This window comes from Homo sapiens, chromosome 7, assembly GCF_000001405.40.
Source record: "Homo sapiens chromosome 7, GRCh38.p14 Primary Assembly".
Classification (NCBI taxonomy): domain Eukaryota; kingdom Metazoa; phylum Chordata; class Mammalia; order Primates; family Hominidae; genus Homo; species Homo sapiens.
The window spans coordinates 93,993,207-94,017,048 of NC_000007.14; the positions used below are offsets into that span (position 1 = coordinate 93,993,207).

At 38.0% G+C, this 23,842-nt stretch overlaps 1 protein-coding gene across 4 annotated transcripts in view, besides 5 other annotated features; it reads right to left on the reverse strand.

The window, feature by feature from the left end:
* Positions 1 to 11,149, reverse strand: part of BET1 (Bet1 golgi vesicular membrane trafficking protein) — a 41,594-nt gene extending 30,445 nt beyond the window's left edge. The window contains exons 1-5 of one of the 4 annotated variants that reach the window (NM_001317739.2): positions 10,992 to 11,149; positions 5,964 to 6,088; positions 3,059 to 3,115; positions 1,146 to 1,179; positions 39 to 704 (exon numbers count right to left, since the gene is read on the reverse strand). In NM_001317739.2, coding sequence (NP_001304668.1) covers positions 688 to 704; positions 1,146 to 1,179; positions 3,059 to 3,115; positions 5,964 to 6,088; positions 10,992 to 11,010 — 252 coding nt within the window. In that variant the 5' untranslated portion in view covers positions 11,011 to 11,149 and the 3' untranslated portion in view covers positions 39 to 687. Of the gene's footprint in view, positions 1 to 38; positions 1,180 to 3,058; positions 3,116 to 5,963; positions 6,089 to 10,991 lie in introns of those variants that run through there. The other 3 variants (NR_133908.2, NM_005868.6, NR_133909.2) reach the window with 3 other exon arrangements.
* Positions 10,359 to 10,965: an enhancer, noted in NCBI's record as "H3K27ac hESC enhancer chr7:93632877-93633483 (GRCh37/hg19 assembly coordinates)". NCBI's record gives its function as "activates a minimal SCP1, AML or CMV promoter by ChIP-STARR-seq in naive H9 embryonic stem cells {active_cell/tissue: H9 hESC(naive)}" and the evidence as "EXISTENCE:reporter gene assay evidence [ECO:0000049][PMID:30033119]".
* Positions 10,966 to 11,571: an enhancer, noted in NCBI's record as "H3K27ac hESC enhancer chr7:93633484-93634089 (GRCh37/hg19 assembly coordinates)". NCBI's record gives its function as "activates a minimal SCP1, AML or CMV promoter by ChIP-STARR-seq in naive H9 embryonic stem cells {active_cell/tissue: H9 hESC(naive)}" and the evidence as "EXISTENCE:reporter gene assay evidence [ECO:0000049][PMID:30033119]".
* Positions 10,966 to 11,715: a biological region, named in NCBI's record as "H3K27ac hESC enhancer GRCh37_chr7:93633484-93634089".
* Positions 11,026 to 11,075: an enhancer, noted in NCBI's record as "active region_26285". NCBI's record gives its function as "activates an Ori minimal core promoter by ATAC-STARR-seq in GM12878 lymphoblastoid cells {active_cell/tissue: GM12878}" and the evidence as "EXISTENCE:reporter gene assay evidence [ECO:0000049][PMID:35858748]".
* Positions 11,086 to 11,715: an enhancer, noted in NCBI's record as "active region_26286". NCBI's record gives its function as "activates an Ori minimal core promoter by ATAC-STARR-seq in GM12878 lymphoblastoid cells {active_cell/tissue: GM12878}" and the evidence as "EXISTENCE:reporter gene assay evidence [ECO:0000049][PMID:35858748]".

The window sequence follows — 23,842 nt, forward strand, 5'->3', positions numbered from 1 at the left end:
GATTCTACTGAGAATGTAAAAGAGACTTAAAGAAGTAACACAGTCGACTAATATATTTTATTTAAAAATTTACTTTTGAAGCCTATAAATGGATAAATTCCAAAATACAGAATATTTAACAATATTTAATATTTTTTACTCAACAGTCTGCCTTTGTGTTTTTCTTTCCATAAACAAATACACTGGATTAAAGCAATAATACTCTTATCTTCAAGTTCAATGCCTGAGTTTCTTGCATACTATTTCCATTTAAAGTTCAGTAATTACTTAACTTCACATTATTCTGTCACAAATGATAAATGTGCTACCTATGTAGTAAAAATCATAAAACTATTATAAGCCAAGTCAAGAGAATTCATAAAGTTAATATGAAATAATAACTATACTGATACACATGTGCAATGGGCCCTACCAGAAATATGCCAAAATAACAAGTTTTATTTAAAGAATGAGGTCTTTGGGCAGAAAGAAATGAGGGGTCATTATCATCAAAAATTATTAGGAAGATTGTAGGTAAAAAGAAATCAGCCTACAATTTTAACTAAATAAAGGAGGAGAAGGGAGTATATCATTACAGTTGATGCAGTTAGGAAAATTCAATTACCATTTTACCACAAACTGGCTGACTACTTCAAGAGCTCAGAGTCAGGCTCTCCAGGCATTCTGTTACTCTCCCACTAAGTTTCCTTACATGGGACATAAACCTGCATTTATGATTACAACAAAATATTATAATGCTATTTAATCTGACAGTTGGCAAACAATAGAAAAACAAACTGGAAATTAGTGGAGCCACACCCTCTCACTACCCCTGAAAATAGGGGCTAAAATGAGTCATTAAGAAACAGTATTCAAAGACCACTGTATTAACTAATGTGATTTATAAAATAAGCAAAATTCAGCAATTTTCAATGGAAAATGCCACAGTATTTGAACACTAGGAATGTTTTGATGCTGATTTTTATCAAAGTGGTACTGCAAGCCATTAAGTTGGAACAAATTCCAAATTCACAATTACATGCATCACCTCAGTTTAATAATCCAATAAATGATAAAAAAGACAAATAAAGAAAACAGCATCATATAGCACAGCAGCTTTGTTTGGCTCCCTCTGGATAAAATCTTCAGTTTGCCCATAGTTTTACCTAGAAATCCAGTTGTGGAATCAAATTGTGAATCCTATCAGAGATAAAGGCAAATAAAATATCACAGTTAGATTCTAAGAGTCTACATATGCATATCCAAGTAATTGAATAACTGTTACCATAGTACATTTGTAATGACAGTTTTGTGTTTAATCAATTCAGGAGCCTGTTGATAACCTTGGATAATCAGCCTGATTTCTCCATGCAAAATACAGTAATACTCTCAGCGAATAAAAAGCTCTTTCATTGTCCAATAAACACTTCTTTCAGCTCCACAGAGTAATTCAACAACTCAAAACTATTTAGGTGTTATTCCAATTATGTGGATAAAAAAAATTAACAATAAATGTAAGTACTTTGTGCATTATCACACAGATTTTTTTCCCCACTTTTTGTTGTGCCATTGCTCTCCAAGGTCAAATGGTTGACTGCTACCCAAGTAGAGGATTTCATCCAAAATGTAATACGGTTAGCAGTTAAATGTACTTTTATTTACTTATTTATTTATTTAGAGACGGAGTCTCGCTCGTTGCCCAGGCTGGAGTGCAGTGGTGCAATCTCAGCTCACTGCAATCTCTGCCTCCCAGGTTCAAGTGATTCTCCTGCCTCAGCCTCCCAAGTAGCTGGGACTACAGGCGCACGCCACCACGCCCAGCTAATTTTTTTGTATTTTTAGTAGAGATGGGGTTTCACCATGTTGGCCAGGGTGGTCTTGAACTACTGACCTCAGGTAATCCGCCCACCTCATCCTCCCAAAATGTTGGGAGTATAGGCGTGAGCTACCATGCTAGGCCTTGGACCTTTACTTTTAATATCCTTTTGTTTAGACAGCTGACTTTGAAGTAGAGTCTATTAAGTTAAGAGAATATCATATAGAGGTAGTAAAATGTGATAAGGACTATAAATATGGATGGGGAAAAACTAACGTATTAAAACATAGCTGGAAAATCCTAAAGATGAGAGAGGCTTAGGTAGGGACTAGAAATATTACACATACTTTCATAGAAATTATAATATCCTGAGATGTAAAAGCCCTGGCATAATAATAAATATCCTTTGTATAGCTCAGTGTCTATGTGGCTCATATACTTTAGATCTATGGATCTTCACCATGGTTATGCATCAGAATCACCGGAGATGCTTTTTCATGGTTATGCATCAGAATCACCAGAGATGCTTTTTTCAAAATATTTACATCTAGATCCCTCCTCACGAAATTCTAAATCAGTATATTTAAAGACAGAATCAGGCATATACATTTTTAAAGAGGTCCCTAGCTTATTATAGCGCACAAGCTTAGCAAGAACATTGCTTTTGATGCCAAATTCATTTTTGAATAGCACAATTTTAAAAGCACATGGAACCAGAGAAGGTTCAGAGAAGCTTGACATTCAAGATAAACGTTAACAAATGGAAGGGGACTCTAACAAGAAAAGGTATATGTTGTTAGAGAGAAAAGGCTCTGGGCTGTTCAAATGTATGAGCACTTTTTTCATAAGTGATCCTTAGGAAATCAAGCAAAAGAGTAAGTATCCATTAAGTGAACGACATTTAGTTGGTTGGATATCAAGTGCCTTTTGATTGCTTGGTTAATAAATTACTAGTAGTCTCTACTATTGAGACTTCTAAGACTACTCAAAATAGTCATTTGTCTTGTTTTTAACAATCATTCTAAAAACAGGATTAAAGATATATTGGCTTCCACTTGTTCCTCCCACTTACATGCGTAAGACGAGATGAAAAATGCAAAAGCATGGCAAAATAAACCTTATAGTTATTCCAAACACATTAGATACAAATGGACGGGAATCAAGGACTTACGATCTCTGTATTTCAAAATGAATAAAAGTTGAAATTCTATTATTTGCGAATATTAGATCAAATTTCTTAAAGTTAAAATCATAACCACTTACCATTTCAGCTAATAATTTATTCTGGGTTTTAACTTCATGGCCTATTTCAATGGAAAGCTATAAAGAAGAAGGTATACACAGGATTACTCACATAAAAGTATTCAAGTGTTATAAAGTAAAAATAATGTCATTCTAAGCATACACATTTTCTGAAATGAAACGGTCTTCTAGACACATAAACTCTCTTTTTCTGATACTTTTTCTACCAAGATCAATAAAAAATAAATTTGGAATTTCTACTCCTCCCAATTATGGACATTTCTTCTTTCCTCTTTATTTTAATTTCATCTTAATATTCAATTCCATCTTTTAATTTGGTATGTACTACTTCTCTCTGATTCTCTTAACCTTGTATGCTTTTATATCTTTATTATATTCCTACAAAAGCTACAAATTCCTACAAATATCTGTATATTTCCTTCTTACATTTTATTTATTATATTTTATAAATTATATATATATATTTTAACTTATTTTAGGTTTGGGGGTACAGGTGAAGGTTTGTTATACAGTTAAACTCATGTCACATGGATTTGTTGTACGGATTATTTCGTCAACCAAGAATTAAGCCTAGTACCCAACCTTATTACATTTTGAAAGATCTAGAAGTACCCATACAACCAATTCAAATCTAGACAGAAGTATTTAATATTTTCCTAATGAAATGTTACATTACTTTAAATATGTCTAAACTGATTTTTCCTTAGTTTAAAGGTTTTTGCTTTAAAATATGATAATAAATTGAAAAAAATAAATATTAGTGTTACTTACTTCCTGAAGCTCTGAAGAAAAGAGCCATAGCTTACAAAATACAATACTATAGCTAATTATGACAACTATTCAAACCAAAATCTATCTAATACTTTATAGGACAGATTCATCAAAGGCTTCACTTCCAAGATATTTAAATAAATAGAATCATCTACTGAAAATCTTGGTAAATCACTGCAAATATTGTTCTTCATCTGTGTGAAAGCACATGGGATAATACTGATACAAAACCATACTAGAATTCTATAGATCAGAACATGAGCTTTCCTCCCAGATTTAACAACTCAGAGATAATAAAGTAACTATAAAGCTAGACTGCCCACATTACTCAACTTCTATCACTGTCATTCATGCCAAGGAAAAATATTTCCAGGACATCACAACTTTCTTCTAACAAGTAATCTAAATTATCTACATTGGGGGGGTTTTTAAAGGCATTTAATTCTTAAGTCCTTCCAAGTGTTGTATTTTTAAAATTAACATTATACAATATTACTTAGTTCATAAATCAACTTTAGTTTAATATGACTTTGAAAACAATCCTGTTTCAAAATCTAAAGGTCTCCAGACTGAATGTAATTCGATTTTCCAAAGACTATATTGAAATACCAATTAAGTTTTATCAACATGGGCTTCTACTGAATGCTTTATAAGTGAACGTCATGTTCATTATAATGCAGTATCAATCACATATATTATTAAAATCATCTTCGTGTAATTCTTTGGTTCAATACAAATTTACTCAACACCATTGATAAGGAATTATGCTAAGTGCTATATAGAATATAAAGTAAGTACAATAGAAAACCTGCATTCTGGTAAATTCCTTTTACATACAAATAATGCCAATGCAAATCACTATGAATAAGTGCTACAGAAATGGCACAAATGGTCTTATGTTCATAAGAAGAAAAGTTACTTTTGGATGTGGTAATCAGGTAAAAGTTTGGAGGGAGGGGGTGCAATGAAGTGGGGCGGATGTGGATAAGCAGCACTTCAGTTGATCTAAGAAGGAAGTGGAGGCTTAAGGCAAAGGGATAGTGTGATATGGGGGTGGGAAAGTGACAGCATACAGAGGACACAAAGTGTAATTTGTCTAGCAGGAAGCACATACAGATTCTGGAAGTGTGAGAGATAAGATCTCAAAAGCTAAGGCCAATTTTTGAAAGATCTATCTGATTTAATCAAGCTACGAAGCATGAACTTTATTAAATCATGGAAGGACGCTGAAGACTTCTGGGAGTGCAGGATGCAAGTTTTAAAATATTCTAAACGAGGACTGTGGCAATGATTATATAGCTCAGATCATAATGTGCAAAAAAACAGGAACAGATAGGTTAAGATGTTCTTCCAATAGTTCAACTAAGAAAACCAGGGGATAGGCCAGGTGCGGTGGCTCACACCTATAATCCCAGCACTTTGGGAGGCCAAGGCGGGCGGATCACCTGAGATAAAGAGTTCAAGACCAGCCTGGCCAACATGGTAAAACCCTGTCTCTGCTAAAAATACAAAAATTAGCCGGGTGTGGTGGCGGGCACCTGCAATCGCAGCTATTTGGGAGGCTGAGACAGGGGGATTGCTTTAACCTAGGAGGCAGAGGTTGCAGTGAGCCAAAACTGCACCATTGCACTCCAGCCTGGGCAACAAGAGCAAAACTCCATCTCAAAAAAAAAGAAAAGAAAAGAAAACCAGGGGATAGTATTAGAAATAGAAAGGCAAAGATAGAAACATCAGAAAGACAGTGTAAGACTCAGTGACTGAAATGAAGTACAAAGGTAGAAATAAGAAAGACCAAGATTTATAGCTTAGAAGGCTAGATTAAAAAAAGCAGAAGAGCTACTTGGGGGTGGAAGATGGACAGCTCTGTTTGAGACATTACAGCAGACAGCATACAGTATACAAAAAAGAGCTGGAGATTTTTCTTAAGTATTAAAAAAAATCTATCTTTTGATGTGCCACATTTTTTAACTTACTCAAAGCACAGTCTAAATTTTGAGTGTACTTTGACCTCACAAAACCACAGTATCTGAGTAAATGAATTCCTTAGGATGACGTCAATAAGAATATATAGTTTATAATTATATGTATAGAAATATATGAATTAAAACACATATAATATTTGTTATATACTTACAGATTTTATAGCAGTTACTTTGCTTCTCAGACTTTCAGTGAGCCTCTCATTTTCTTCTTCACAGGCACTATACCCACTATTAGCATAGCCATAGTTCCCATAGTTGCCAGGAGGTACTCCTTCACCTGCAAGGATCAGAGTCACAAAGGTGGTTCTAGAGAAGCCACTTTTGAAACACTGTTAGTTAGGAAAGAACTGAAAAAGACCCCTGGAGGGCCTTGCAAACCACATATGTCTCTAATATTCATACTCCAAATGAATTTAAAAAATAAATAACCAAACAGAGATCAGACCAATTCTTTCCATTACTCTCTGTTAACCAAAGAATATTCAGTTCAGTTCATTTTGATACACATTTCTGGATTGCTTATTGATTGTCCAGAAGATACAAAAATAGGTACTAATACACAAGAATATTCAGGATACATTCCCTGCTCAAGAGAAACATATATTTTAATGAAAGTTCTAAAAGCAGTAACATCATCTACCCATTGAAAAAGCGTGGCTGTGAAGAGGAAGGGAAAAGTGGTTAATACAGAAGGACGGGAGCTCATAGCGGCGAGGGTTCTTTACTGGCATCTCTTTCTCTTAAATAGACAGTTGGACAGGAAAGAGCCAAAGCAGGGAGGGGGCAAACTGAAGCTCTAGGAAAGAGACACAATAACTTATGCAGAATGCTAGCTGAGAGTCAAGAGGGAGATTCATTTATTCTTCAACATATATTTGAAGAATTACCATGTATCAGATCCACTGTTCTTTCTAGGTGCTACTTTTATGGAACTCTAAGGGATAAGAATGTACACCTCCCTGCCTAATATAGTACTTCATAGTCATCAGGCTATCAAACAACAGATGGAGTGGGCCTTAGTGAATACATATATAAATATGTTGGGCGATTAACAGGAAACGGCATAGTTCAGGGTGTTAGTTAACTATACTTTTTTTTTTTTTTTGAGGTGGAGTCTCGCTCTGTCGCCCAAGCTGGAGTGCAGTGGCGCGATCTCGGCTCACTGCAAGCTCCGCCTCCCAGGTTCAGGCCATTCTCCTGCCTCAGCCTCCCGAGCAGCTGGGACTACAGGTGCCCGCCATCACACCTGGCTAATTTTTTTTTTTTTTGTATTTTTTAGCAGAGACAGGGTTTCACCCTGTTAGCCAGGATGGTCTCGATCTCCTGACCTCATGATCCATCCGCCTCGGCCCCCCAAAGTGCTGGGATTACAGGCGTGAACTTTTTTTTAACATAATTGTTGCCATCAATTTTCTCAGTAAAGGGAGAAAACGGGCTATCTGCTGAAGAATGGGTGATCATTCAGAATATACAGTAAGGAGAATGATGGAGGAAAGGGACCGGGACTGCACAGGATTACTAAAGATAAAACAAACTTGTTTGAGGCAATATACTACGGTGGCTTCAATCGTCCCAGGTGTGTGGTTTTTTTCTGCAGAAGAGTTCATCGGCCTGAGTTAGTCCAGGAGAAGGTGGATGGTTGGACTAATCTATAGTTGGAAGCTTATAATATTGAGGTTGCAGAAAAACGGAGCCCCAAGAGGTTGAGACTGCTTGCCAAAAGAGCGGTTGAAGATCTGGATTATGGGGATTAGATTGGACAGATATTAAAGCAGATTCAACAGTGACTTGAGAATGTGGGGAAAGGAATGATATCAAAACTAGAAGTCTCAGAGCCTGCTGCACACAGTTGCTTGCACCTATAATCCCAGCTACTTGGGAAGCTGAGGGAGGCAGGATCACTTGAGGCCAGGAATTTGAGACCAGCCTGGGCAACACAGCAAGACCTCATCTATTAAAAACAAACAAAACTAGAAGTCTCCATATGCTCAATGAGCAGATGCAGCAGCAGTGACAGGAGGTAACAGCACTGATCACTGAAGGACAGTCAAGGTGTGAATAGGAACTTCTTTCAAGGCACAATAGAAATTTCATTTTCCCTATGAAGCAAAACTCTCACTGATTTCTTACAGCTCTGATTGTATGTAACACTAATATTGCACTCTGTACAGTACTATAAGGGAAGAGAATAAGTTTGTTTGACTCAACACTGTATGTCCCCCCATAAACCTACAAACACATACACACTGTAAGGCACACTCAATGAATACATGATGTGAACTAATTAATGAAAAGAATCTGAGTTCACTGTTATTGAACTTTGAATGTGCATACCTTTGTCCAGAATGGAATCATATGCTTCTCTGAAGGCAAAGACAGTATCTCATGCTTCCATATCCTCCCTGTACCTAATGAGTACTTTATATGCAGCAGATACCTATGCAATCTCCACCACCACAAAAACCACAACAAAATATTGAAGAAGTATTTTCCAAACAGAAGAGAGTTGTACTATCTGAATTTTGCTGCTGACACACTATCCATGACACACTATCCATGAAGCTCTCCACATGTTTTATTATAAAAGAACTCAAGGAGTGGGCATATTTTTCCGCTCAGTCAAATATTAAAATCACCATTTAAAAATGCATTCTTACTCTGTTAACCAATGATACTCTGTGCAAACTGTAGTTTAATAAGGGCCAAGATACTTAAAGAAAGAATGTCTTCTTATTTTGTGTGGCTGAGGTTCTGAGTATATAACATTTACCCAATAAGTAATTACTGACTGGTTGAATTCAAACATTTGACAACTTCACCAAGGAATTCATTATAAATTAACTGCTATTTTTTCTTTCCTTTGTTTAGTTGCTTTTGCCTATCTTAATTTTAATTTTAGAGTTCTTCCATGCTGTTCCATTTATTCAAAGTGAAATTCTTGTTGTATTTATCGTCCAGAAATATATCAATGCACATTCCTATTAAAGAGTTGATCTTCCCTCAAACTATGACCCATCCCAAATACAATGACAAAAGTAAAAACCAAATAAAATGCTAGAATTGCTATTCCAAACAAAGCCACTTCTCTTCTGGTGGTGTACTGCTATGAAAAGTTGTAAAAAAGCTAGTGAGTACTGAAGATCATCCTCAGCCTTTGTTTATTTAGATAAACGCTACTTTTTTGGATAGGTTCTATCAGTAAGCTAACAAAACCATTTAGAGATTCATGTGAAGTGTGGCAGCTTCTGCCTATGGATATGTATCAGATTCACTATGATCCCAAATTTAAAATTTCAGGTCAATATGCATTCATACTTTAAAAAAAAAGAAAAGAAAAAATGTGTAACAAAAGCCTTTGTCACTTCACACCAATGTAAATTATAGCAATAGTAGTTACCTAGGTAATTACTTCTCCTCTCAATCACAGAAGAGCTTTTTTTTAAAAAAAAAAAAAAAAGAAAGAAAAAAAAAGGAAAAAAGGAGAAGGTAGTGGGCTCTAAATTGGAGAAATTCTAATTTTACTGGCTGAGCTGAGGTCCAGGTAACAATACTTTAAAAACTTCCCAAGGGATTCTAATGTACAGTCAGGGCTGAGAACCATTACTCAAGTCACTTTCCTGCAATTTAACATGGCACACTGCAGCAGGAAAATACTCAAAAGGGCCTAGGGGCCTACTGATGAAATCCAAACTCTTTGGCCTCGCATGCAAAGATCTCCACAGTGTGATCCCGAATCCCCTACTTCACCCAAACTGGCTTAATCATAATCCCTTACTTCTTTTGAGTTCCTCCTATCTGGAACTCACTTCCCCCACTCTCCATTATTCAAGGTCTACTTCAAATTCCTATGTCTCCACCAAATACACAAAGATCTTCCCCACAAAGTACACAGTGATCTATCTCTGAAATCTCTGAGACCATCCCTTATATGTAGAACTTATCTGGTATTTGGATGTATAGCGACACTTTGTACTACAATTTATCTTTGCACATATTCCTACTCCCCACCTAGACTGGAAGCTTTGGGGATCACAAACAGGGCAACAAACAACTGTATACCTAGAGCTTACTCAAGCACACAATAAATCTTTTTTGGTATTAAGGATGATGAACAAGAAAAACATTTAGACATATAAAGCTAAACTTGCTCAAAATTATTTCTTTTTTTTTTCTCTTCAATTTACCTGGCCCCATTTTCTATGATCTAAGTATTCATAAAAACTTCATTAAAAAAACAAAAAACTTTCTCATACTACAATTTATTGATCAATAAACAAGTCTACGGTTATTGGCAACTTTCACTGACTTTAAATATCTGACACTTTGGGGATTTTTTTTTTCTTTTTTCAATCTTATAATGACTGAGAAAGGTAATATCTTTTTTCAAATGTTTCATTTATTTTCTGAAGTATACTGCACTCTAATTTAGCGGGGTCTTCTTTAAAAAAAAAATCGTGTCCTAAGAGAAAGCTTCAGAACCAGAAAATGCCGTTCTAGTAGCTGTGCGTTACTATAAGGGTCCATTAAAATTCCTTGTGTCTAACTTATTCTTGCTGATGAGCCAGTTTCCTAACCCCAAAGGTAAAGATCAAATGTTAAGTCGCCAAACCTTAACCACGTTCTACTGCCTTAACCGTGGCACAAGGTTCAGATTAAGAAATCGCCTTTGACCCAGAAGTTCCAGTTCCAGGACCTTTAACAATAATGACACATACATTTACCTTTGTAACTCACTGTTACCAGATTAACGACCATTACTAGCGTGCTTTGGGTGCAACCACCCACTCTTCAAATTCCGCTTCTGAAGAAACTAAGATCCAGGGCCAGTAGGGAAACAGAAACCGGAGTCGGGCTTTGGAAAACATAGCAGCGTCCATAACCACGCTCAGTCAATAACACTAAAACACTCGACCACTGAGATGCCACCTGTACACACCCACCCCTAGTCCACTACTTTCTCTAGCCTACCATCCAAACTTGAATCTGACTCAAACTTAAGGAAATTCCAAAGATCTGGGACAAATGGTGTGTTTCCACTCGACATGGACCCCAAAGATCCCCTCTAGACATCCTGTTTTTTGGACCAAATGCCAGGAACATAAGACAGGTTCGATTTCCTCCCGCGCCCCAGCGCTCCCGGTTCTAGGGCCCCGAACTTCGAACCTCAGCCCTCTTCTTACCCAGGCCTGCACGCCTCATCCTGCCAGAGGAGAGAGAGAAAAGGCGGGTGCGGGGCTTTGGGTGAGTAGGAAACAGCTAGGGGCGACCCGGACCGCGTCTTCAGTACCAGGGCCCAGCGAAACACCAACTTCTTCCCCTAAAGCGCCACGACATCAGTGGAGTCTAAACACCGCGCCGGATGATGGCGTCACCACGGCGCTCATTGGAGCCCTGGGAAGAAGGTTGAAAGGCATTCTGGGAAATGTAGTTCACCAACGCATAACGTGTTGCTGAGGGCGTGATGTGAACCCGGTTCCAGGAGCGGACGGGGCGTCCGGAAAAGGGGGCGGCTTCGACTGCGGCTCTGATTCTGGGTCTCTGATCCAACGTTCCCGCTGTTCCGCTCGCAGCCCGCGGGTCGCTGCTTTCAGTTTGTTGACCACCAAGTTTAACCCAGCAGATCTGCTCCTCCCCACCCACAAGAGGATGGTTGGGGTATCTTTCCTGATTTAGCCTCGAACTCCCTCTCACCTCCAGAGACGATTCAGGGAAAGTTAGAGAAAACTTTGTCCAGGTTTCTCAGTTTACAAACAAGTAATCCGACACCCACAGAAGTAACCGATTTGTGCCTTGTAGTATCCAGTAAAGGAAAGAAAACCAGGTTCCTTTGAGTAGGACTCCTGCTCAGATGAGAGCAGACTAGGAAAGGCTGCGGGATCTGGTCAGAGGCACTGAATAGTTAGTTCCCTGTTACTGCATCTGTTGTACTTCTAGAAAGAACCAAGACTTTTAGTTGTTATGGGGACCAAAGGACCCCTAAACGCTCTCCCACTTTTTTTTTTTTAACTTACACAAAGCTTATTGAAATACTGCTTACACAAGGCAGTGTGCCAATTAGGGGTTTAAAACTTGTTGGCGAGTTGGAGGTGTTACTGGTATCGAGGTTAATCCTAGAATTTCATTTTATCTCAGAGGATTTATCGTGAGAATACGATGAAATCGTGGTTTTTGAAGGGAAAACAAAAAAACCTGATACACAGTAGGTGATCAAAATTCACTGGGTGTCTGCGGTTTTGTTGTTGCTGCTGTATATATGGCAGTGGAATCGTCTCCACACTAGAGATTTCCGAATATGTGATCTTTGATCATTTAGCGTTTCCTCATAGTTTCCCAGGACATTATTAACATTGACTATAATACTGGCATAAGTCTCTGCGTTAAGTTGCTTTTGTAAAAAACACATGAAAACAATTTTTAATAAGAGTTATTAACCTGGGAAGGAGGCTTTATCCAATAGTGTTTTGATAGAAAAAAATCATTAAAATAAAACCGCCATTTTCTAAAAGCAATGAAATTAAATAAGCATAATATCAGGGACAATTATTACAAATAAAAGATGGAGATTCAATAAAAGAAATGATAGCTAGGTATCCCTTTATAACTTAAAATCTGTGACAGTCCTTTGGTTAAAAAAATGCATGTTCTATAATTAAAACGTTTAAAAATTGCCTTACAGAAGGCTTGCTGATGGAAATGTAGAAATCGTTATTTTTGAAAATATGGTAATATTTACTAGAACTAATCATTTAGATTACATAAAATATACTGCTTCCTTTACATGGTAGGAAGACATAAGAATGAAATGTAGTTAAAAGGAAAACATATATAATGTACTAAGAATATAACTGAAGTAAGGCAAAGCTAGTTCATATTGAAGTTGTTACCTAAAAAATCCAATTATTGTTTTTAGCTAACGTTGCTAGTATCAAATTAGGATAATGTCATCTGAAAAAAATTTGCACTCAAAGGAAGAGGCAGGAAAAATGAACTCAATGTGCAGAAAAAGAATTATTAAATGTGACCATAGTTGACATTAGCGATCAGAGGGAATCATTTTCACTTTTCTCGTTGTGCTTTTTCCTTTTTAAATTAAAATCCTTAACTTTTCTTACTGATTGAAAGCAAATAAATTTCACAGAGATGAATAGCATTTAGAACCTCTTCTCTATTCTCACAGGATAGTCTCACAGAAAACATCTAATGTTTGTAGGTCTCTAGGAGATAAAGGACTAAAAATTACTTAAAATAATATTAAGTATTCCTTCTAGTAATTACAAAAGCAAGAATAAAAGCAGGAAATGTCTGAATCGAGGTGCAAAATTGGAACTTTTCTTTCTCCTATCTGTCTGCTTCCTGCCTGCCCATTTGTCCTACCTCTTCCTGACCAAATTTCAAGTCCAATCCAAGGGAAAAGAGCATACCAAGCTCTCAAAACTGGTTCAATAAACATTAACACATTTTTCAATCATGAAGCAAATTCAGTATCTCGGGTATCATATTTGAACTGTCACAAAATGTAAACTAGAAACAAAAAGCTCTTGATTTACAAACAAGCTATGGGACAAAGTTTGTTTCTAAGTTTGTTGTTTGGTATTTAAAGCACATTTTCCCTGAAGACTGAAATGATGGTCAGGTTCCCAACTCAGCCCAGAAAACACATGGCTGTTAGAGTTACTATGCTGGCCAATCAAAGTCTGTGTAACCCATAGGACAGCAGAAATACCGCGTATTTTCAAGACCAATAGAAGGAAAATAATGTTGTAATACTTGTGATAAAATAAAGCAAAGCCATTAAAGAAGAAATAGAGTGTTTAAAAATTATTTTGGTTATTCATGTTTGAGAAAGAATGAGTTTTACTTAAAAGTTTTAAGAATGCGAAGAATATTTTCAAGGAGTTTGCAAAAAGTCACCAATTTGATCTGTCTTTTCCATAATTTGGGAATATTACTAGCACTGATGGCAAGCTTTTCAGCCATAGTTTGTAAAAATTAGGCACACAATTCCAACCTTAAAGTCCTCAGCAGAGCCAGACACATAATTTGTGGGGCTCAGGGCAAAATGAAAATGTTGTGCCTCTAGTTCAGAAAACAGGGGAAAAGTTCAGTTAAAGGTATTAAGATACAAAACTTCTCTTTCTTCTGTTTTCTTCTGTAATCTCCCTACCATCGTTCCTCCCCTCCCCACACCAACTTGTCATGGTGTTTTTATTTGCTATTTAATATTCTTCTGAGTAAAGAAAAAAATAAATTATTAGCATTAATTTTACCCTTGATCTTTATATTGTGCAATGACAGTTTTAAATGCAAACATAAGAGCACGCTACTCGTGAAATCACTAAAATTACACATTTGGTATTTTGTACTTTGATATGGTTTGGATATTTGTCCCAACTAAACATCATGTTGAAATGTAATCCCCAGTGTTGGAAGTAAGTCCTGGTGGGAAATGTTTGGATCATGGAGGCAGATCCCACATGAATAACTTAGCACCATCCCCTTGAGTGAGTTCACACGAGATCTGATGTCTAAAAGTATGTGGCACCACCTCCTGTCTCTCTGGGTCCCACTCTCACCAAGTAACCTGCCCTCTCCCGCTTCACCTTCTGCTATGAGTAAGAGCTCCTTGAGGCATTACCAGAAGCTGAGCAGATGCTGGCACTATGCTTCCTGTACTGCCTGCAGAAACATGTGTCAATTAAACCTCTTTTCTTTATAAATTACCCAGTCTCAGGTACGTCTTTATAAAAATGCAAGAATGGCCTAAATAGATACCTCACACATGAATCTGTATTTCATTCTTACCATGGCAGAGCAGTCAAAACACTGCATCAAAACTAAGTCAACAGATTTTATTTCATGTCTTGACAGGCACATACTCTACCAACATTCTACCTTCAGCCTACTGATGAGTTAGGAGGGACTTAAAAGAAAGAGAGCAAGGGGTTGCCTTATCTATTCTTTTCCTTTTATGCCATCATTTTTAATACAATTGGCTAACACAACAATGTAAGATAAAAAAGTATGTGATAGAGTTCCTTGGTCATTTTCTTCTTTCTGTGGAAGAAGTTCTGGTTCAAGCAGAGCACGTGGCCTTTTGGGGCTGTCAGTGTCCATACTTATTCTGACACAAACTTAACACACCTTTTGTACTCTTTTTGAGTGTTTCTGAACTCCCATGCGTCATGGGTCCACTGGCATTCTGTGTTCCTGGGTCACTGCAAATGTAATATTCAAATGAAGTGGCAAAGAACAATGAAAATGCATGTTGTACATATCTCCTGCAATCGTGGGCACTATCTCTTGTTCCATAAGACTTTATATACAAAACTTAAGGCCAAAGGTAAAATTATTAAGAATTTCAAGACAGTGACCACAGAGCATTAAGCCAAGTTTGGGGGCCTTCTGATTAAGGAACCTTATGCAACTGCAAAGGTTGCAGGCCCCTGAACCTGGCCCTGGTCCTCAGAAAGAAATTTTCAAAGGAAATAGGGCCATAATTGGTAGAGAAAAAGGAGGGAATGAGTGAATACAGAGGACATATATATCCACAGATAGAATTAAAATGAAACATTTAAATTGAGCAGTGAAATTCACAGGGAAGCAAGAGAGTAGAGTATACAGGTACTGCCCCAAGAGAAAGGAAAGAAGAAAGGGAAGAGGTGGTAAGTTGCGCACTTCTCTCAAACCACTGACCAAGCCAGTTTCTGTCTGAAGTAAATTATTATTGTGGTTGACGAGCCATAGATGAGTAAAACTCTAGTGTGTATAAGCAGTAAGAAAAACTGTCCTCAAGGTGGGCATGATGCCAGCAAACATGAGTGATGGGGCATAACTTCAGGGATGAGGCTTTTTCTGTGTTTCATGGCACAATGTTTCACACTTCCAGCAATTCTAATGTATTACTAAGTTCTCATTCTGGGAAATGATTCCTTCCTTAATATCAGTTAATCAGTAGCTGTGATTTTTTTTGTCTGAATATCCGGCCCCACAGCAGAACAGTACTATAAAGATAAATTTTAAAATGAGTACTTTGCATAGGCTGCCCTTTTAATATTCCAATTTTGAAGACATCTTTGACATTTCTAAAACATAATTTGAGATTAAAGAAGATAGGTTTAATTTTCATTGCCTAGAATATGTCGGTGTTGTATATTTTTAAATTCTCTGCATTATCTATCATTCAAGACTAATTTAGTCAAGTTGATAGTCATTTTATTTTAATAGCATTTATTATTCAATAAGTATATTGAATTATCATAGTGATACATTTAAACTACAAAATGAAAAATGAAGTATACAACTTAGTTTTATTCCTACAGCACTGTTAGACACTTTGACAGACATGTTACACTACTGACTTGTTTTTTTTCCCAGTGGTGATTAGTTGAGTTTATATCATAGACAAAACACTTCAATGTTATTCAGATATGAAAATATGCTATCCACTTTTATGTAGTAGACATTCACTTCACCTAATTTTCCTGTTTTACTAAAGCTAATGATCTCATGACTTTTGATTTCTAGAATTAGGCCAAGACTGTGTCACAGATGTATGCAAGTCATCTCATTTCAATTTGCCTTGGCTATTGACACAGAACCACTCCTTGGAGCCTAAACGATCCAGTTTTCTCACCTTGCCTGTTAACCATAATCCCACACTCAGCTGAAATGATCCAATTTTTTATCTTTAATATTTTGGGTTTTTTTCTTATAGGTTGAATTTAACTGCTTTGGAATATCAGATAGCATTAAAATGATTTAATTATTGCACCAAGAATCATTATTATTTTACATCCACATTCCAGGAGGATGGAATCTGGTATATCCTTTAAAACACATTTGTGCTTGAGTAAAGTTTTCCTGTAACTAATTTGTACTGACTTCCTCTTCTTGATTTACTTTATGGTACATCTATATCAGGATATATAGATCGCAATACTTTGCTCACTCATTATGGGCAGTAATTCTGAAATCAGATACATGCTTCAGATTTTAATGTAATGGAGCATTTTCTTAATTTAAAATTCTTCTCTAGCAAGGTTTTGCTTTTTACTTTTCCACAGGGAAACCATTTCTGATGGCACAAAACTTGAGTCATAATGTATAAGCTTTGCAGTTATAAAATAACTGCCATCTTTGTTTTATGGTTTACTCACCTGTAAAAGCTGTTTATTGTCAAATAGGAGACACTATGAATCAAATTTCTTCTCTTGCTGCAGTGCTTCCCCCACTAAAAAATCTCTATTAATAGGGCCCCCCAAGATCAAAAAGGTAGTTTGATCACTGTTAGCAAGGAGTTATGCGGAGATAAGAATTGTTACAAGGAGAATTAGAAAACTGGTTTTATAAGAACAGACAGGAGAGAATTTGCCACTACTGCTCTGGCTGCTCAACCTTTATTAAAGTATTAATATGGCACTTTTGGGCACTTAGCTTGGATGCCTTATTCTAGGCCAGTGTGAATTTTATGGCTCAGTTAGAAAACTTTGCAAAGAGGAAAAAAGAAGTTTTTAAATAATAATATGTGACATTAATATTCATGCTTATACAATCCTATGAAATCTGGGTTTGATTTCTTTTCTTTCCTTCCTTCCTTCCTTTTTTCTTCCAGGTGCCACCCACAGAATATTTACCCTGTACTATAAAGAATTAAAAAAAAAAAAAAAACGAGTTGGGAAGATGCTTTAATTCTCTCCCAGATCACGAATGTCCTCCCTTATCCCAAGTGAAGGAGTTAAGTAGATGGGTCATCCAGTATGTCACCATAGTACTCTACTAGTCTAATGGGTGAGGGTTAAGTTTACTGATGAAACAGACAACCTGACAGACTCTAATGCTAGTGAAATAATGGAGTAGCTTGTCAAGAGTATATTGAGACATCTCTTTATCCAGAAGGCCTTAAGACAAGGTTAGTTCAATTTTGCTCAATATTCTGTTTGACTTAAGGGTTACAGGCATGCCTCTGCAGATGTCAGTCTCTATTAATATCAACACTTGTCCCTTCTCCTTCATTGCAAAGCCAGCTTAGTTACCTGCTAAGAAGATGGCACCACGATGGTAATGCAACGAATGGATGTGGGAGAAATGAGACAGACAGTGAGTAGCCACGTGTCATTTACCTGCAGATGCTATTGACATCCTGTTTATCACTCTAGGCCTGCCTCCTTTTGTGTCCAGAATTGGTGGGTTCTTGGTCTCACTGACTTCAAGAATGAAGCCATGGACCCTCGCAGTGAGTGTTACAGTTCTTAAAGGCGGCATGTCCAGGTGATGTTCAGATGTGTTCAGAGTTTCTTCCTTCTGGTGGGTTCGTGGTCTCGCTGGCTTCAGGAGTGAAGCTACAGACCTTCCCCGTATTACAGCTCATAAAAGCAGTGTGGACCCAAAGAGTGAGCAGCAGCAAGATTTATTGCAAAGAGCAAAGAACAAGACTTTCACACTTTGGAAAGGGACACCAGCGGGTTGCCGCTGCTGTCTCAGGCAGCCTGCTTTTATTCCCTTATCTGGCTCCACCCACATCCTGCTGATTGGTCCATTTTGATAGGGTGCTGATTAGTGTGTTTACAATCCCTGAGCTAGACACAAACGTTCTCCAAGTCCCCACTAGATTAGCTAGATACAGAGTGCCGATTGGTGCATCCACAAACCTTGAGCTAGACACAGAGCACTGATTGGTGCATTTACAAACCTTGAGCTAGACACAGAGTGCTGATTGGTGTATTCACAATCCCTTTGCTAGACATAAAGGTTCTCCAAGTCCCCACTAGACTCAGGAGCCCAGATGGCTTCACCTAGTGGATCCTGCAGTGGGGCCACAGGCAGAGCTGCCTGCCAATCCTGCGGTGCGCCCGCACTCCTCAGCTCTTGGGTGGTTGATGGGACAGGGCTGCAGAGCAGGTGGCGGGGCTCGTCGGGGAGGCTCCGGCCATGCAGGAGCCCATGGCGGCAGCGGGAGGCTCAGGCATGGGGGCCTGCAGATCCCAAGCCCTGCCCCACAGGGAGGCAGCTGAGGCCCCGCGAGAATTCGAGTGCAGCGCCAGCAGGCCGGCACTGCTGGGGGACCCCACACACCCTCCACAGCTGCTGGCCCAGTTACTAAGCCCCTCACTCCCCGAGGCCTGCGGCCCCCAGCGGCCACTTGGAGTGCAGGGCCGCCAAACCCACGCCCACCCGGAACTCGCGCTGGCCCACAAGCGCCTGGCGCAGCCCCGGTTCCCGCGCGCGCCTCTCCCTCCACACCTCCCCGCAAGCTGAGGGAGCCGGCTTTGGCCTCCGCCAGCCCAGAAAGGGGATCCCACAGTGCAGCAGCGGGCTGAAGGGCTCCTCAAGCGCGGCCAGAGTGGGCGCTGAGGCCGAGGAGGAGCCAATAGCGAGCGAGAGCTGCCAGCACGCTGTCACCTCTCACTTTCTTCTCTTCCAATAACTTTATTTCTACCATTTCTTTGGACATTCCTGTTTAGATATGTCACAATAATTTCAAACTCAGTAATTTTCACTCCTAAACCAGCTTGCCTTAGTGGGTTTTCTTGTCCCTGTTAAAAATACCATTAAGGCCCAAAGCCTCTGGATTTTTTTCTACTTTGCCTATTAAAACAACTCATCTGCAAAGCCCTATTGAGACTGCATTTGAAGTATCATTTTTGTCCTCTTTCTTTCCATTCCAAAACTAACAATATTAATACAAATTTCAAATACCTCAAATCTTACCAGAGCTTCTTCACTTCCTTGTTCTCAGGTCCATTTTCCCCAAACACACCAGATTGAAATTTCAAGAACTCTAATCCCATCTCATTACTATTTAAAGGCATTTAATGAATTCTCCATGACCTGTGTGGGGAAGCATAAAGAGGTATGTTTCAGTTTCCCTGAAGATACCACAGAAGTGGTGGTTGTGTTGGGTACAGACTGTAGGCTGGAAGTTGGCCAGGGAGTGCCTCCTGTAGGACAAAGGAGGCACAGAAGGCAGCAGCAATTGGCTTGGAAGCCCATGTCTATAACTTTCCATTTAATCAGGATCCTCTGGATAGGATCATGGTTCTATAGGGTGCAGTCAACCATTCTTTTCCACGAGCTTTACCCAGTTTCTATCTTATTAGGACCCTACACTCTGTAATTTAGACACATTAATCTACATGTTGTTTCTTGCACATTTCAGAGAGGATACCAGTAGGTTAGCAGTGCAAAAGAACACAAAAGTTTCTTTCCTCTGTTTTTTTTCAACCATCATCATTCTTTCCCTTGCTGCAATTATTCACTTCACTTCTTTCTTTTTTTCTCACTCTTCCTCTCACATCTCTCCATGTCTCATAATCTACAAAAAGCCCCTAAGTCTTTACCATGTAATCATTCCAATTAAAAAGTATCAAACCGCTGCACAGTGTTCTTTAATTTCTTTAGACTTTACCATAGATGTTGTCCATAGCAATGACCTGAAAAATATTAATGCGTTATGAATGACTTCTCCTTTCTTCATTCTCAATATTTTTTAATTTGCATATCATTATTTAACTTTGTATTAAACAAGAAGTTTATCTTGCTCTTCCAATTATAGTCATTGAAAGCCTCTCTTCTTCTTTGACTTCTACAGCACAGAGAAAGTATGCAATAAATATATACTGATTGGCTGTTCACAAATCAAGTCTCCTCATTAGGAGTTGTTGATATTTTCACTCCTCCTTGAGCAAACACATGGTTGTCTTTTAATATATTTTTAATGAGGTAAGTACATGGAATTTACTTAGGGCTTAGAGAGGCAAATCTATGATCACTGAGCTTTCTTAGAGGGAGACAGATTTGTAACAAAAAGGCAACTATAGGAATGGAAAGAGTGGAGTAGCTTAAGGATTAAAAGAAAGATAATGAATACAACGGTACAGACAAAAGAAATAAAAAAGAAGGGAAACAAACACAGAAAGCCTTTATCTAGGAGAAAGTGAAAGAGTGTGGAAGAACAGTTGGCGGTATAAGAGTTGTTAAATAAATCAAAATATTTGTTTCCTGTCACAGGACCATTGTGTTTGGTCTTCTACTGGTTTATGGTGCATGATAGGAGTTTAGTATTCTTTGTTTCTGCCAGAATTTGAGAATGTCCTTGAGGCTAAGTTGTGGGAAAAGTAAATATGGGACAGCAGAGTTGCTGTAGACCTTGATTTGGACCCTTGTAATGGTCTTGCCTCCTCCACTCTCTGTAATGATACTGCTAGCCTCTAGACCTTAAGTGAACAGCCTAAACAGCCATTCTGCCATTCCTGTTTTTCATACCTTCTCACACTGGTGGTGCAAAGTGCTCCATTCTGAAATGTTCTAGAAGGACCATGCTCTAAGTTGTCTTTGTTCTACAACTTTTATTAATCAGCTAATTATTATTCCTTTTTTTTTTTTTTTTTGGTGACTTCAAAACCAAATTTCTTTTTTTCTTCTTCTTTTTTTTTTTTTTTTAGATGGAGTTTCGCTCTTGTCGCCCAGGCTGGAGTGCAATGGTGCGATCTCGGCTCACTGCAACCTCCACCTCCCGGGTTCAAGTGATTCTCCTGTCTCAGCCCCGCCAGTAGCTGGGATTATGGGTGCCCGCCACCACACCCAGCTAATTTTGTATTTTTAGTAGAGATGGGGTTTCACCATGTTGGCCAGGGTGGTCTTGAACTCCTAACGTCAGGTGATCCACCCGCCTCTGCCTCCCAAAGTGCTAGGATTACAGGCATGAGCCACTGCGCCCGGCCCAAAACCAAATTTCTATTAACCGATGAATAGGTAAATAAAATGTGGTATTTCCATACAATGTGAACCTGCTGATAATGGAGATCTAATGCCAGTCTTATTTTATTATGCCAGAGAGATCATTGGGAATGTTCCCTTTGATTTTAGAAACATGAGTATGACCTTTACTTGTCACACTTTCAAGGAACTGAGGACTAGACATCTGAATTTCTTCAGATGTGAATAAAAGGATATATGAATTTAAGGATATGTGAATTAAAAAATATTGAGAATGAAGAAAGGAGAAGTCATTCATAATGTATTAATATTTTTCAGGTCATTGCTATGGACAACATCTATGGTAAAGTCGAAAGAAATTTAAGAACACTGTGCAGCGGTTTGATACTGTTTAATTGAAATGATTACATGGTAAAGACTCTTTAATTTCAGAGATGTTCTCCTCATTTCATGTGCCCCTGACTGGATTGTCAATCAAGTCACTCCATTTATGTCCTATCTACGGGAGATACCCATACACTTAGCACAGTGATTGCTCTAAAGCATGAGCACATAACACAAGCAAGTCCAGAGATCTTCCATAATAAGAGTGCTGTATGGACCCTGGGAAAGAGTCGATCTATTCCTTTTATCTCACAAGCTGTAAAGGTAAAATCTGAAGACTGCTAGAAGACATTTTTCCTAACTCAAGAAGAAAAGGTATCCATAGTAGGATAGAATGAGGCAAACACAGGGAAGGCTTGACACACAAAACTGATTATGATGGAGATAAAAATAGAGGTGGAGATGGAGATGGAAATAGAGAAATGAGATAGAGGATTATAATGATATTGTTTGGACTCTGAATCCAGCCATGCCTAACCTCAGATTTGTACTAAGTTATTTGTCAGTAAACTCCTATAGTTTTGTTTGTTTTGTTTTTGCTTCAATTGCCATTAAATTGGATTTTTAACATTTAAAACCCAAAGAGTGTTCAATATTCAATCAGGTTGAGGAAATTTTGCTGATAGTGCTTGTTTCTAGGGGTTTATCCACCCTAAGTTAAGTGTAATTTCCTGATTGTTGGCCAAAAAAAAAATCATTTTTTTATAGTTCATGGATAAAATAAACATGACATGGATGGATAAATGGTCATGGATAGTTTAATATATAAGAATGATGTAATAGGCTGAAATTTAAAAATTGTTTCTTTAGAATTAAAAGGCTACTCCCATATCTAATGCATCAATTCTGACATCTAAAACAAAAACTCTTAAATAATGCAATGCACTATTCATTAATTTGAAGGACATTTTTGCAGTCATCATTTGAAATATTTCTTAAGAACAAAGGATGAAAGATAAAATATGCAAGAAAAAATTATTTTTTGTGTGTACAATCCACCATTTTCCTTCTTACAGAAAATTATTTACTGTGATTCTTTATTTCAAAAGAAGTTATTGCTTCCATTTCAAAAGGAATTATACATAAAGAAAAAAGTCACATGCCCCAAACCTAGTCAAACACATAATATAAACAATCAGTATAACTTGGGAAAGAGATGTATTTATTTTTGGGTTAACTACATGGAATAATATACTTCCTAATATTTTTATTCGATATGCTCATTGAACACAATAATATTCTCCAGGTAGAAGTGACTGATAAACATGCATACTTACTTTAAAATTAGAAAGAACTTTTTTCTGAACTCTTTTTTTTTTTTTTTGAAACAGAGTCTCACTCTGTCGCCTAGGCTGGAGTGCAGTGGCGCGATCTCAGCTCACTGCAAGCTCCACCTCCCGGGTTCATGCCATTCTCCTGCCTCAACCTCCTGAGTAGCTGGGACTACAGGCGCCCGCCACCACGCCTGGCTAATTCTTTGTATTTTTAGTAGAGACGGGGTGTTAGCCAGGATGGTCTTGATCTCCTGACCTCGTGATCCACCCACCTCGGCCTCCCAAAGTGCTGGGATTACAGGCGTGAGCCACAGCGCCTGGCCTGAACTCTTAAAATTAGCCATAATTGCCCTGTAAGGCTCAGGTTAAATTGTCTTCGTCCCATAGATTTATCTTTATCACTGTAAATAAGAGTAATCAATCCTTCTCTAAACTTCTAGCCACTTAAGACATATTCAAGAAGCATTTACTAAATGTCTCCTATAAGCTTATCACTCTGGTGGATACAAAGAAATATAAGCCATGGTTCCTACTGTTAAAGATTTTACAAACCTGTTAGTGAGATTAGGAGTCCATATAAAGAAAGTTAAATATTATCCAAGAGATTAATGCAATCCTGTATTGCAAGGCGATTGATAACCTCCAAGTTCCAAAGTAAT